Source organism: Homo sapiens, chromosome 22, assembly GCF_000001405.40.
Source record: "Homo sapiens chromosome 22, GRCh38.p14 Primary Assembly".
Lineage (NCBI taxonomy): Eukaryota > Metazoa > Chordata > Mammalia > Primates > Hominidae > Homo > Homo sapiens.
The window spans coordinates 39,246,939-39,262,044 of NC_000022.11; the positions used below are offsets into that span (position 1 = coordinate 39,246,939).

Here is a 15,106-nt window from a genome sequence, read left to right on the forward strand (position 1 = left end):
ATTTGAAGTCTAACGACTCAGAGATAAAAACCCTCTTCCACCGGACAGCTGGGTCATTTGACCTTGACCTTCTGTGTCTTCTATAAATAGAATGGTAACAACTACCATGATTAGTGAGCTGACTATGTGGTAGCTAGTGTTTTTCTTACTCTACCTGTAGCCTCTCCATGCTCCTGTGAGATGTGTTATTCCTATCTTACAGATGGGGAAATGGAAGCACAGAGAGGCCAATACACTTGTTCAAGGTCACACAGCCCGTAAGTGGTAAGGCCAGGACTTGAATCTGAGCAGTCCAGCTACAGAGCCCACATGCTGAGACCACCGTGCTGTGCAATTTTCTGGCAGGTGATGCTGATGACAATGATGACACTTTTGACACAGCGCTTTGGTGAGCGCCACATGCATTAATATGTGGGAACCTGCTCTGCCAGCTAAAAAGTGATGGACCCATATGAACTCTGACTTAGGTACAAGTTGAGGGAGAGGGAAGGCTACTCAGAGCAGCATCGTAGAACGCCTACTGTTTGCAGACCCTGTGTGAAGCGCTGAGAAATGGAATGAGGAAGGAGTCCCAGCCTCGGCACTCAGGGACTTCCCATGCTCTCAGTGAGATAGACCCAAATCATTGCAGTGCAGGTGCCAGTACATGGGTTAGAAGTGGCAGAAGAGGGCCCAGCAGACACCTGGGCCTGAATGCTACGTGACACCTGCGTGACACCTGGGCCTGAATGTTGTGCTAAGGGCTCCTTTCTTGTACCTTCTCTGTGCAGAGGAACAGTCTGTAAAGAACACCTCCCCAGGCACGGTGGCTCACCCCTGTATTCCCAGCAATTTGGGAGGCTGAGGCCAGAGGATCATGTGCAGCCAGGAGTTCGAGACCAGCCTCAGCAACATAGCGAGATCCCATCTCTTAAAAAAAATTACCAAAAAAAAAAAAAAAAAAAAAAAAAAATATATATATATATATATATATATATATATATATATATATATATATATATCTGAGTGTGGCCCCAGCTACTCAGGAGGCTGAGTCAGGAGGGAGAATCCCCTGAGCCCAGGAGTTCAAGACTGCAGTGAGCCATCTCAGAGACGGGGTCTCGGTCTGTCGCCGAGGCTGGAGTGCCGTGGTGCGATCTCTTCTCACTGCAACCTCTGCCTCCCAGGTTCAAGCGATTCTCCTGCCTCAGCCTCCCGAGTAGCTGAGACCACAGGCGCCTGCCACCATGCCCAGCTAATTTTTGTATTTTTAGTAGAGACGGTTTCACCATGTTGACCAGGGTGCTCTCGATCTCCTGACCTCAAGTGATCTGCCCCACTCAGCCTCCCGAAGTGCTGGGATTACAGGCATGAACCACCACACCCAGCCTAAAAATTTTTTTTTAATAACACCTGATCGTCTGCCTCCTGCCAGGCTGGGTGTAGCAGGCACCTCCTCCAGAAGGCCCACCAGGCTTGGCACTTGTTCCAGGCTCCACAGCATGCACACCTGGCATCGTCATGGCCTGATCATCAATCTAGCACTAGACTGAGTCCAGAGTGTTCAAGGGCCTCCTGCCAGCTCCTAGCATACAGTGGCTGCTCAGGAAGTGCCGCTCGCTGAAGGAATGAATAAATGATTAAAATCCTGCCAATTTCTCTTTCTGAGTCCTGACCAGTTATTGCAGAGATGCCAGGCCCTTCCTAAAGGGTGGAAAGAGTTGGGGAGGGGCTTGTAGCATGAGCCTCTAAGCTTGGAAGCACAGGGCCCCTGAAGGGCACCCCTTCTGGAGGTATCAGAACTGGGAAGGGTCTGAAGCCACACCACCCTGAATGCACGTGGTCTCATCTGACCTCGGAACTTCATCAGGGCTGGGTCTGAGGAGCACTTGAATGAGAGAACTGGGAAGGCCCCCGCCCATCTTCGCGTTCAGGCCACTGGGAAATAAGGTTCTCCAGCAGAGCTAGGGATGGGGGCGCCCACACCCCCGTAACTCTCCACCCTCCACTCCAGGACAGATCTGAGCCAAAGGGAAAAAGAGTGGCCACAGCCGTGGGGGATGGGGGTGCTGCCCAAGGTTGGGGGCTTTTTAGACTGTGTGCTCAGAGCTATCCAAGCCCTCATCCATGAAGAGCATCTTACACCCTGGGCGTGGGGGTCCAGGACACTGGCTGGGGTGAAGAAATACCAAGGAAGGAGTTGGGTTCCATCCCGGGGGCAAACTCACGCCCTCAAGTCCAGAAAGGTGAGAGCGATGATCACTGGGAGCCTCCCCGCCACTGAGAGGGGCCAGCAACACCTGGGCCAGGCAGCTCTGCTTCTCCATACTTGATGGAGAGGAAGTGAGGCTCTAAGCTGGAGACCGTCCAAGACCATGCCACAAATGGTCTGAAACTCCAAGCCCTACCCCACTCCGCGTGGCCCTCATCAGCTCCCCCATGCCCCTTGCTGCCCCATCCCCTGCCTCCCTGTCTACAGGGCCTTTGGCTGTCCACAAAGCACTTCCTTCCCCTCTGCCTGCCTCACCCTCACAGTCGCCCAGGGAGAAGGCATTGCCATCGTATATGCCCATTGTACAGATGAGGAAAGTGAGGCTGAGAGAGGGCAAGGGACTAGGCTTCCCGTCAAAGACCACCTGGGTTCAAAGCCCTGCCCTACCATCTACTAACTCTGTGACCTTAAGCAAATTCCTTAACCTTCCTGAGCCTCACGTTCCTCCTCTGTAAGTCGTAGGGACAATAGTCCCTACCTCACTGGGTTAAATGAGTTAATTCACCTGAAGTGATAAAGCCTGGAGTGAGCACCCCACAGATGTTGGTCATCACAGTGATGGTTATTACTGCAGGCTCTGCGCGCGCGCGCACACACACACACACACACACACACACACACACACACACCCCTACCTCACTTGCAAATTCACCTCTGAGCTCCAGAGCCAGCGCTAGGAGAGGGGCCACAGGTCTTCACCTGGAGAGGGTGGAGGTTGTTCTTACATAGAACTCCCGCCACTTCTCTCAGACCTTCTCACCCTAATGAGGCTCTGGCCACTGGCCTGTGAGTGCCAGGGAGGCAGGAGAGGAGACCCCCAGGAAGGCAGACAGATGGACCCCCAGGCCTAAGCCAGCCTGGAGGAGCCCACCCTGCGGCCTTGGGCCTTGTCCTGTATACAAAGGCGAGGGAAGCGCAGTGTTTGTTTTCCCAAAGCTGATGCATTTTTAGCTCCTCCAGGCTCCAGACAAGGAAGAGGATGTTTGGACGGGGCAGCTTGGACCTATCTGCCCTGCAAGCTGGCTGGAATTCGAGTGAAACCGTCCTGGGGTGAGGGGAGCTGGGCCAGATGGGCTGGAGGATGACCCTATCGGGGGTCTGGGCCCCCCCTCCCCACCTTGATGCTTGAAGTCTGGCTCTCCCCAGAGAAGGCCCATCCTGACAGCGTCCTTTGCTGCCTGCCTCTTGGGCCTGGAGTGAGCCCGTCATCAGGACAGCCTCCCTTGCAGAGCATTCACCCTGGGCCAATCGTGCTCTTGAGCTGACAGCCTGAGGAAGGCGGTAGGACAGTGATTACCATTTGACCAGCAAAGAAAGAGAGCCTGGCTGAGCCCTGACCCACTCCTGGTGCTCTGATCTGTTCATCCGGGGGAGGAGAGGAGACTGAGGCTCCGAGAAGCCTGCTGGCTTTCCCACCGCCACCCAGCAAGGAAGCAGCAGTGTCGGGATTTGATCCAAGGCTGTGATGCCGAAGCCCACAGCTTTGCCACCTCCCAGCCACACGATGCCTCCCTGTGTGCCTAGATGGCAGCTGCCTAGCCTTCTTCATGCCATGATGCATACATACAAAATTATACGGACTACATGGAGAGGCTATGCAGGGCTGGAGGCAGTGGGCCCAAGGATTCGGGGGGGCCCCGGGTCCACCCCCACCCCAGAGACAGAAGCCATTTGCTTGTGGTGGGTCCACAGGTGGGAAACGATGGAATAGGTATGGGTTAGCCAGCCCTTTCCAAATCAGGGCATCCTTTCAGTCGCTTTCTAAGAGTTTGACTGAGGATTCTGGAAGGGATGGAGCTGGGAAGCAGAGACGGACAGGCAGTGAGCGGGCACCCCTCTTGGTGGGGATCCCAGCTTGCTAGAGGAGACTGCTTGTAACTGCAGGAAGCATGGTGAGCCTATCAAAAGAATGGGAAGCCAGCCACAGTATAAAAGTCACAAACTTAGGCAGGAGCAGTGGCTCACACCCATAATCCCAGCACTTTGGGGGACCAAAGCAGGCGGATCACTGGAGCCCAGGAGTTGGAGTCCAGCATGGGCAACACAGCAAAACCCCATCGCTACAAAAAAAATAGTAATAATACAAAAATCAGCCTGGTGTGGTAGCGTGCATCTGTAGTCCCAGCTACTCAGGAGGCTGAGGCGGGAGGATCGCCTGAGCCAAGGAGGTCGAGGATGCAGCGAGCCATGATCACACCACTGCACTCCAGTCTGGGCAACAGAGTGAGACTCTGCTTCAAAAAAAACTAAAAGTCACAAACTTTCCACCAGTATTCATAAGAGCAAACTCTGTGTAGCCTTGGCCGTGCAGTTGGGCAGCCGGCTCTGCACCTGTAGGTGCAATAACTCATTTGAGCTGCACGACACGTGGGCATGAGAGGAGCTCTTGCCACCCCCATTTCACAAATGGGGAAACCAAGGTCCACAACAGCTCTGCCAAAGTCAGGGATGGCTGAGGGCAGAGCCAGGACTTGAACCCAGGCAGCTCAGTGCCAACATCCCTGCCCTGCACTTCTCTACCCATCTGCCAGGCAGGCAAAGATGAAAACACACCCGCCCAGTTCACTGGGGCCTCACCCTCACTCACCCATAGATTCCCATGGGCTATCTCTGTGCCTTCCTCTCACTGCTGCCGTGAATTGAAAACTGTACTAAAAAAAAGTACTTTTTAAAAAGTTAAACACTGTGATTTTATATGTTTCAAACTCATACATTAACTCACTGAACCACCCAACAATCCAGGGAGAGAAAAATACGTTATCCCCATTTTACAGGCATGAAAACTGAGTCCTGGGCCTGGAGGAACAACGTCCGCAGCCTCGGTGTCGTCGTCTGTAGAATGGGTATCCAGACACGATCTGATTGTGGGGAGTGTGTGCGGACGTGCATGGCACGCCTCCGGAGTTATCCTCGGGAAGAATTGGCCATTCCACCACCAGCTCACCTCTCTGGAGCCCCCTGCCCTAGGGGGGGCTTACAGGCCAAAGCAGGCAGGCAGGTAGACAGTCGGAAAGACCCAGACGACTGTATAAACACCCTGGGGCCGTGGTTATATAAGTCAATAAGCAAACAGAGGGCAGCCGGCATGAGTGACTAAGAGTCTTAATAGGAACCACCGCAGCCATGGGCATAGTACGTGCTCCCCGGGCACAGATGTGCTCTGGCCATGGGGCACGTCCCTGCTGAAGCCACAGAGTTATCATCGATGGTCCCAGGTGGAAGGGGTGTTCCATGGAGGATGGGCTTTCCTCTGCCCCTTCCCCCTTGGGGCACCAGGGGACCTCCCTGTTCTTCCTTGGATAACGACAGTGCTCACCACGCCCCCTCCCAGCTGTGGGACCCTGGGTGAGTGTGATTCTGGAACCTGTCCCATTTGGTAATGGGGTTAAGCTAGCAAATGAATGAAGGGGGTTGGCACAAACGGAGCACTCCATACATGGGAGCTGTGGTTACCTTCCTCCCACTTGGCTGAGGCACCTGAGGCACAAACCTCATTCAGTCGCACAATCTGCCTCAAAGGGAAGCAAGCGGCATGGGAAGGATCATACCCCTCTTACAGATGGGAAAACTGAGGCTCAGAGAGGGAAAGTGACTTCTCTAACATCACCCTGTTGGTTAGAGGTGGAGCTGGGTTTGAACTGAAGTCACAGCACTCCCAGGAAAGTGCTCAAAGGGAGGGAAGAATGAATTAAGCCAGAAAGACAGATCCCCCCATCCCACCCACCAGTGTGAGTGAGATATTTTCCCATGTGGGATCTGGTGGGGGCGTGCAGGGAGGGTGAGCGTGCCTGTGTGATGCGGTGTGAAGGGCGACTGGGGGGCCTGCGTGCACACAGGCATTGTGGGTGTAAACCAATGTACACTGGCCCGGGAGGAAGGGAGGATGAAAACACCCCCTGGCAGCCAGCAATGTCCCACTCGGGAGACACCCAGGGCGCCGGCCCCAGCCGAGCAGGCTAGAGACCCCAGGCGCCGGGGCTTCCCTTCCCTAAAGACCACCAGTGGGGGAGGGGAGGATGCACCTCAGCCTCCAAGCCTCATCTCCCTGTCCATCCCCCTCCCCAGCTCCTTCCTGTTTTGATGGAAGGAAAATTTTTCAGCTTTTTCCTTCTTTATTTTTCCAGACGGGTGACTCGCTCGGGAAAGGAACTCCCCCCTCCCCAGACCATCATAACACCTATAGGTCCATGCCATCGAGGCAGGCCCATCCTGTTATGCTGAAATAGGCATGGTTATTTTGGGGTGCCTTACGGGGGTGGTGCCCCAGGGGAGGGGACGTGGGGGTGCTCAGCTGCCTTCTTCTAGTCCACGTCCCCCTCCCAGGTTCCTCCCCACCCCCACCCCGTCCTCCCTGCCCGAGTTCTGGGAGGAGGGAAGGAAGCCTGCCAAGCCAGGGTATAAATAACCCAGGTGGTTACTCAGCTCCTGAGAACATGATAACATGAGTCATGACGTGAAATCAACAGGAGCAGCGAGCGCCCGGGCCGCCGCCCCGGCAGGGCAGTGGGCTGCAGGGAGCGACCGCGAGGGGCCGGGACTGCAGTGGGCAGGGCCCAGGCTGATGGGTGAAGCTGCTGCCCTGTGCCTGGTCCCAGGCAGGCCTCTTCCCAGCTCAGACCCTTGGTTTACTCATCTGGCATACACGGGGTGGGGGCTGCCTTCCTTCCCCAGGTCCTCCTGCAGCTGGAGAGAGGAAAGGAGGGCGGGGGTGAGCTCTGAACATCCCTGGGGCCTTTGCCTGTGCCTGACACACAGTGGTGGACAGAACCAGCCCACTGGAACTTCCAGTCCCCTCTCCCCATTTCCAGGGCAGATGGCCCAAGGGGTTCCCTGAGCCTCAGTGGGACTTGCGGGAAGGGAGGAAGGGGGCTTGGACAGGAGCAGGAGGGTCCTGAGCACAGGGACTGCAGAGCCTTCACCCACCAGGGTGGCCCTGAATCCAGGACAATCTGCAGCCTCCTCTGGCGCCCGCTGCAGTGTGGCCTGAAGCGTGGGCACAGAAACAGGACACCCTGGAAGACCTCCGGCCAAGCCAGTGTGACCAGCCCAGGCAGCTTGGCCGGGCTGCTGGCCCATCTCTGGTGCTCGCAGGCCAGGGGGCAAAAGCCAGCGCCCCTGCATCCTCACCCACGTCCTCGGCTCCGGGCTCATCTCCAGAGCATCACAAGCCTGGACCCCAGGTTGCCATGGCAATGGGTTCTGGAGTCTGTGCAGGGCAAGTCACCCTCTCCTGTCCACCCGCAGCTGCTAGGCCTGGTGGGGGGCAGCAGGGCGATGTGTGGGGGCAGGGCCTGTCCTGGTCGTAGGACAAAGGGCGGGGGGCACAGCTGGTGCTGCTGACCTGGGCTGGGAGCTGGGGCATTATCCTCCACGTGGCCTTCAGCAACTTAGTCTCCCAGCCGAACCTCAGACCCCTGCCTGGGCAATGGCAGAGGAGGGGGAGGATAACGCCTGTCCTGGCTATTATGAGGGGCACGCTGCAGAGGGCGTGTTATCAGGAGAGCAAAGACCCCTCTTCCTCTTTGAGGCATCGCCCTCTACACCTTTGGCCTTATCAGAAGGGCAGCACCCCCAGAGCTCGCACCCCACCTCATCTGCCCTGACCCTTGGCCCAGCTTTCTCTCCAGGTGGGGGGTTCACCGCACCCACCGCCCGCGACCCCTGCATGCCCAGACAGCTTGGCATGGCTCAGACCCAGCATTCAACGGGCAGCCTGCCCTCTGGCCCCTCACAAACAATGGGGACTCCAGGAATATTGTCCCGCCCGGGCTGAATCAAACGCTCTAAATTTAGTCTCTCTGATGTGTCCTCCGTTTCCTGCCCCTGCTGCCCTCCTTTCAAGGCGATGAGGTCACCCCGGAACTGCCTGCCCCAGCAGCCAGACCAAGGGGGTTTCCAGGCCCAGGACTGCTCTCCTGCTCTTGGGGAACGGGGTTTCATGGGGACCAGGGGACATGGGCCTTCCCTCCTTCCCACCCTGTGCTGCCTTGCCAGGCCCCCGGGCTGCTGGGCCCCATGGTCAGGGCCTGAGGCAACCCTGTCCCAGCGCTGAGGACCCAGGAACATGCCACCAGCCTGGGATGGGGGAGGCCACGGAGGGAGGGAGCAGTGAGCCCCCAGGGAGGAATCTCGAGCTGAGGGACCAGGAGTTCGGGCTTGTTCTGAGAAACGCACAGTGTCAGAGTCACTCATTCAGAAAGACTGAGAGAGCCTGCCGAGAGCTGGGTACCGGAGACGCGTCCCTGCCCTCTCAGAGTTGACAGTCCAGAGGCAAAAAGGACAATCGGCAAGTAAATAGTAAATGAACAAGAAGACCCCGGTTGTGAGAAAATGTTATAAAGCAAATAAATCAGAGAAATGTGATCACAAACCCTGGGTGGGTGAAGGGTACAAGTTTAGGAAACGGGTCAGGGAAGGCCTCTCTGACATTTGAGCTGAGCCTTGGATGACCAGAAAGAACTATTGAAAGATCTGGGTGGGGCCAGAGGAGGGGTGAGTGGCAGATGCCCCAGGAGAGAAGAAAGTTGTCCAGGAGGGGCCCGTGCACTGGAGGCAGGGGACGGGGCAGGCACAGGGGCAGGGGGACGAAGCCAGAGGCACTCCCTCCCCCAGGGTGCTGAGCAGGGGAGCCCCCTGACTCAGTTTTACAAAGAGCCGTTGCCGCTGTGTAGAGATGGGACAGGGGAGGCCAGGGAGGAGGCTAAAGTCACAAGATCTTGGAACAATAAAAACCAAGTGTCCTAAGTCGTTTGCTCGAAGGCGCCTTCAAGATTTGCCTGTTTCAGCCCTGTCATGAGTCTCTGAGGCCCAGAGAGGGCATGTGTCTTGCCCAAGGTCACACAGTGAGTCAGAGCTCTGCCTGGAAAACCTTCGACCGGAGGGAGTGAGGGGTACCTGACCACCTGAGAAGGATGTATCTTTTTAGGAACACCACGTCTGAGATGCTGTCCTCGGCCTAGCTCCCCCCAGTCTGGAGGCTGTGCTGTCGCCCCATCCAGGCTTCTGTTGGGGTGGGGCAGCCCAGAGATGCCTAGTTCCTGGGGGGTGGGGGCGGTCTGCCCTGTCCCTTCCCTGGTCCCTCCTACGTCCTGCGGGCAGGTGTGCCCGCTCTGGTCCCACCCACAATCCTCCCCAGCCACAGCCCTCTCCCCACACTCCTGCCTTGAGCATCTCCCAGAAGCCCCTGCTCTCCTGCTCTGCCAAGAATCCAGGTTTGGCAGGGAATTGGGGGGGGACTCTGGAATGTCGCTTTCCGGTGCCAGCACCAGCGTGCCAGCCTCAGCAGAGGCCCCGGGGGTGGACAGGGGATCACCGGATCTCGTCTGGAAGGGGAGGCTGGCAGCCATGTGCCACCGGAGGAAGGCAGGGCCCTGCCTGCTGAGTCGGATGGGGGACATCCGGGTGTCGGAGCTGCCCGGGCTCCCTGGCTCCTGACCTGCTCTTTCTACCTGCCGTCCGTCCTGTGCCCAAGCAACAGTGCCCCCAGCCCACCCTTTGGTGCCTCTTGGTTCACACATGGACCTTGTAGAGGCTGGGTAGTGTTCTGTGTTGGGGATTCCTATTAGCCCTTCAGACACTGAGTGTGAGGAAAGGCTTTAGACAGAAACGGATCTAGGTTCAAATCCCATCTCTTCTGGGCCTCAGTTTGCTCATCTACAAAACAGACAGAGCCCCTGCGTGAGAGCTGGGTGTGAGAATTTAACAAGCTGACATGGACACCCCACCACAAGCCCTTCTCTGCTGGCTCCCTCCCTCCCCCAGCACCCTACATGGTATCCCCAAGCCCTGGCCACTCAGGGGAAGCAGAAAGCTTCTTGGCTCTGCCGGCCAGAGGGAGGGCCTGGAAGGGGAGCCCAGGGGAGGTGGAATAGTGGGGAGGCGAGGGGTGGTGGGGTACATGGTTAGGCTCTGACTCAGGAGCCAGGCAGACCTCTGCTTGAGCCATGGCTCCTCTGCTGGCCAGCTGTGTGGCCTTGGACAAGTTACTCAACCTCTCTGAGCCTTGGTTTCCTCATGTGTCTAACAGTAATGACAGTGGTGCCTACCCCACTGGGGTAATGGAGACATCATTACTGTTAAGTTATCTGCTAGTAGGTGAAAGAAGGCATGAGGGGAGCACCTGTCCCCCACCAGCCCCAGATTGTTGGAAGCTTCTGGTGGGGAAGGGGCAGCTTGAGCCCCTGGAGGAGGAGAAGGCCCCAGACCCAGCCTCACTAGGCAGCAGAAGCCGGGGTGCCAGGACACTCCGAGGACCCCAATGCTCCCAGCCGTACTGGAGGTGGAGCTGGGTGGGACCTCCCTTTTCAGCCAGTTATCCTTCAGGCCTGGGCCAGAGCTGCCCCCTTCCCTCTGCCAGCAGGGCCAGGCCAAGAAGCCTTTATTTTCAAACCTTTGAACAATGCCTGGCCAGGCATAGCCTCGCCACAGAGCAGAGGATGGAGAGCTGGGAGAGGAGGGGCCCCACACTTCCTGGGCCAGCATTCCTCACCCCCAGACAGGTGCCAAGGGCTCTGCCCTCCATCTGACAGAGGCACGGAGCCTGCTCAGGTTCCTCTCGCCCCCAGCCTCAGCCCTTCTCTCCCTCGGAGGGTCCGGATTCCAGAATCCTCAGTAGTCCCTGTCCCCTGGCTGGGACAGGCCCCATCAGACATAGATGAGACACACCTGCTGTGCTCAGGCACCCAGGGGCCGGTCTCAAGAATGGCTGGTGGGGCCCCTCAGAGGGGCCGGCTCAGACGCCCTCCATCCCTCACAGCCCCTCCAAGACCAGGTTGGACATCCCGCCTCTCTAGAAGGCCCCTCCAACCCAGCGTGGGCTGCACCATCCCTCTTCAGATTCCACTTGCTCCTGGCTGTCCAGAACATTCCTGAGTCTATGCAGCAGGAGGGCAGTGCACCTGGAGGTCCCTGAGGCCACATTCCCTCCCCAGGAGCAGAGCCAGACCCACGGACAAGCAGCCGGGAAGCGGGATCTGGTCCTGGTTCTGTCATCAACCCCCGAGCAACCTTGAACAACTGTCCTTTGTCCCTTGGTTTCTGCTTCTGAACAACGGGGATGATTAACACCCCTATCCCCCATTCACGGGGCGGGAGGAGGCTTTGCAAGCTGCGAGGTGCTGTGCACGTGTAGGGCACAGGGCTTCCAATGGGGCGGGGCAGGAGACACTGGACATGGGGGTCCCCCACACCTGGTGGTCTCTACGGACAGCCACAAACACCAGAGCCCGGAGCCAGAAAGCCTGACTTCTCATCCCATCTCTGCCACTATCAGTCTCAGACTTTGAGGAAGATAACAAACCCTCAGTGGCTTGGTTTCCTCATCCGTAAAATGGGCTAAGATAGTACCTGCCTCACAGGACTGCTGGGAAGATTGAGATGAAATACATAAAAGCCTGGGCGGCGAAGCAAGACCCCATCTTCACAAATCAATAACTTACCTGGGTGTGGTAGTGCACTTTTAATCCCAGCTACTTGGGAGGTTGAGGCGGGAGGATCCCTTGAGCCCAGGCATTCGAGTCTTCAGTGAGCTATGATCGTGCCACTGCCCTCCAGTCTGGGCAACAGAGCAAGACCCTGTCTCAAAAATAAATAAATAAATAAATAAGAAATAAAATACGTAAGAGTAAGTGCTCAATAAACATGAGCTCTTACCATGTGCACAAGTATGCGTGTGTGTACGTGTGTGTGTGTGCACCAGCCTGTGTGTGTTTGTGCCCAGAGGTGGTGCTCCCAGGGTGTGGAAGCCATTGGATGTGCATGAAAGAGATCAGGCACCAAATAAGTGGCGCGGATTTGCTCATGGGCCCAGCCCAGGTGTTTGTGCACCAGTGTCCGAGTGAGACGTGTGTGCCAGGCCTGGTAAGTGCATACCACTGACCTCGTGTGAGCGCCCAGGAGACGCACACAGGACCTGAGGCAGCTTGTCCCCTCGCCCCTGCCATTGATCGGGGAGCAGGAGTATATATTTTTTGTCATTGTTGTTTTTTGGGTTTTTTTTTTTTTTTTGAGGTGGAGTCTCTCTCTGTCGCCCAGGCTGGAGTGCAGTGGCGCAGTCTCCGCTCACTGCAACTTCCACCTCCCGGGTTCAAACGATTCTCCTGCCTCGGCCTCCCGAGGAGCTGGGATTACAGACATGCACCACTATGCCTGGCTAATGTTTGTATTTTTAGTAGACAGGGTTTCACCATGTTGGCCAGGCTGGTCTTGAACTCCTGACCTCAGGTGATCCACCCGCCTCGGCCTCCCAAAGTGCTGGGATTACAGGCATGAGCCACCATGCCCGGCAGGAGCATGTCCTTGTGTCTCTACCTCACTGGCATCTCCTCCTGCTGGATGGTGGGCACAGGTCACCGGGGCCCCTCTCTCCCACAGCCTGGCCCACCCCAGACCACTAAGGGACCCAGCCTCAAAGAGAGACATCAGGGTGGGTGGGAGGTGCGTGGAGAGGGTCCAAGTGGTCAAAGGCCTCAGGGCTTGGTCTCTCCTGTCTCCTGGGCTGCTCTAATGGTCCCCTTGGCGTCCTTAGCATCCCTGCTGTAATGTCCCATGTCATTATATTCTTGGCCGACTCCCTGGCCTGTGAAAACAGAGGTTCTGTGTGTTTTGTCTACACTGCACCCCGGAGCCTGGAACAAGGCCAGGCACACAGGAGACATTTAACAGGTCCTGGAATGAATGAGGAGCCTGGGAGGGATTTGCTGTTGTCAGCTTTGCAAGGTGTAATTTCCACACAATACAACTCACCCATTGTCCAAACTCTGGGACACAGTTGAGTAGCCACCACCTCAATCAGAATGGAGAACCTTTAGAGCACGTGACCACCACTCCAGGTCCCCTCTGCTCCTTTCCAGGCAGGTCCTTCCCTTCCCAGGCAGGTCCTTCCCTTCCCAATTGCCCTGGGCACCACTGACCTGCCTTCCAGCACTAGAATTCTGCCTTTTCTTTTTCTTTTATTTTTTTTCAGCTCTGTCACCCAAGCCGGAGTGCTCCCACTTCAGCCTCCTGAGTAGCTGGGATTACAGGGCCCCACCACCATGCCCAGCTAACTTTTGTATTTTTAGTAGAGACAGGGTTTCACCATGTTGGCCAGGCTGGTCTCAAACTCCTGGCCTCAAGCGATCTGCCCCAGCCTTGGCCCCGCAAAGTGCTGGGATTACAGGTGTGAGCCACCAAACCTGGCCTGAATTTTGCCTTTTCTAGAATTTCACATAAGCAGGAGAGTGATGCTCTCATACCTGCATCTGCATAGGCTGCTCTGGCTGTCCAGTGGGCCTCCAACAGGGCCGTGTTGGCGAGGGCCAAGGAGGAGCGAGGAACCCTTCAGGGTGAGGTCACAGGGGACAGGTGACCATGGTGAGCCTGGCCCAGGAAGGGAAAGGAGGGGCCGCATCAAAAATGATCAAGGAGGAGGCCGGGCGCAGTGGCCCACGTCTGTAATCCCAGCACTTTAGGAGGCCGAGGTGGGCGGATCACGAGGTCAGGAGATCGAGACCATCCTGGCTAACACGGTGAAACCTCGTCTCTGCTAAAAATACAAAAACAAAATTAGCCAGGCGTGGTGGCAGGTGCCTGTAGTCCCAGCTACTTGGGAGGCTGAGGCAGGAGAATGGCATGAACCCGGGAGGTGGAACTTGCAGTGAGCCGAGATCGCGCCACTGCACTCCAGCCTGGGCAACAGAGCGAGACTCTGTCTAAAAAAAGAAAAAAAAAAAGATCCAGGAGGAGCCCTCAGGCCCAGGTGAGGATTAAGCGGGGCTGCCTGCCAAGGCTGCTGTTCAGAGCCTAAGGTGTGCCTCCCAGAGAAGAGGACCGGAGAAACTTCTGGTGTGGGCAAGAGAAAGATGCGCTCACAGGCCCATGAGCGCACGAGTGTGCACACACCCGCACATGCAAAGGCACACACAAGCACTCGTGGAGCAAGCAGTCCAGACCCAGGCAGATGGCGCAGAGTCGATGCCCCCACAAGGCACAGCCACTCCACTCACGTTTGTTTCCATCTTCCCTGTGGAGGACCTTCTCCAGGCTGCACAGAGTGGAGCAGGCGTGGGTGGCAGGAAGTAGGGAAGGGAAGTTCACAAGAATCATTGGATCATTTCTCATAGTTTCTGTGGGCCAGGAATTTGGGAAGGGCTTAGCTGGGTGGGCTTGCTTGGGCTCTCCATGCAGTTGCAATTGCAGTTGCACTTCGTAGCTAGAGCAGGTGCAGTGGGCACTGGCCAGGCCTCTCTCTACTCCCCTTGTACTCTGGGGGCCACTCTGTTGTGTCTCTCCGTGTGGGCTGGTTGAGCTTCCTCACAGCATGGCAGCTCATGGCTGAGCCTGTCTGAGCTCATCCCCACAAGAGGCATGGCCCATATGGAATCCCAATCTGAGGAGGCAGCTGGTCTCTGCTCTCTTTTATAAATGAGGAAACAGAGATATCAAGGGGCTGAGCAGCTTGCCCATGGACACACAGTGACAGGATAAAAATTCAGCTTCGTCAATCTCTGGCAGGCTGCATTTTCCAGCAGGGACCACAACAATGCCTGATATCCCACATGCTCCTCTTGCAATGCCATATTGATGTTCCTCCTGTGGAGAGGTGAGGTCTGCATTCCCTTTCCTTGAATCCAGATAAACTGGAATCCACAGAACCAAAGCTCTGTGGCCTCTGAGGCTGGGTCATCAAAAGCAATATTGTTTCTGCTTGGTTTTCCTGGGACGCTTGCCTCAGGAGTCCTGAGCTGCCATGCTGTGAGGAAGCTCAATCAGCCCACACGGAGAGACCCAACAGAGGGACCCAGAGAGTACAAGGGGAGGAGAGAGAGGCCCGGCCAGTGCCCACTGCACCTGCTCTAGCTACGAAGTGCAACTGCA

At 56.6% G+C, this 15,106-nt stretch overlaps 6 annotated features.

The window, feature by feature from the left end:
* Positions 6,686-6,735: a silencer, noted in NCBI's record as "silent region_13748". NCBI's record gives its function as "represses an Ori minimal core promoter by ATAC-STARR-seq in GM12878 lymphoblastoid cells {active_cell/tissue: GM12878}" and the evidence as "EXISTENCE:reporter gene assay evidence [ECO:0000049][PMID:35858748]".
* Positions 7,211-7,989: an enhancer, noted in NCBI's record as "H3K4me1 hESC enhancer chr22:39650154-39650932 (GRCh37/hg19 assembly coordinates)". NCBI's record gives its function as "activates a minimal SCP1, AML or CMV promoter by ChIP-STARR-seq in naive H9 embryonic stem cells {active_cell/tissue: H9 hESC(naive)}" and the evidence as "EXISTENCE:reporter gene assay evidence [ECO:0000049][PMID:30033119]".
* Positions 7,211-8,768: a biological region, named in NCBI's record as "H3K4me1 hESC enhancers GRCh37_chr22:39650154-39650932 and GRCh37_chr22:39650933-39651711".
* Positions 7,906-8,200: an enhancer, noted in NCBI's record as "tiled region #6675; HepG2 Activating non-DNase unmatched - State 4:PromP, and K562 Activating non-DNase unmatched - State 7:EnhWF". NCBI's record gives its function as "activates a minimal TATA promoter and a strong SV40 promoter by Sharpr-MPRA in HepG2 cells, with weaker activation in K562 cells {active_cell/tissue: HepG2 | K562}" and the evidence as "EXISTENCE:reporter gene assay evidence [ECO:0000049][PMID:27701403]".
* Positions 7,957-8,206: an enhancer, noted in NCBI's record as "active region_19037". NCBI's record gives its function as "activates an Ori minimal core promoter by ATAC-STARR-seq in GM12878 lymphoblastoid cells {active_cell/tissue: GM12878}" and the evidence as "EXISTENCE:reporter gene assay evidence [ECO:0000049][PMID:35858748]".
* Positions 7,990-8,768: an enhancer, noted in NCBI's record as "H3K4me1 hESC enhancer chr22:39650933-39651711 (GRCh37/hg19 assembly coordinates)". NCBI's record gives its function as "activates a minimal SCP1, AML or CMV promoter by ChIP-STARR-seq in naive H9 embryonic stem cells {active_cell/tissue: H9 hESC(naive)}" and the evidence as "EXISTENCE:reporter gene assay evidence [ECO:0000049][PMID:30033119]".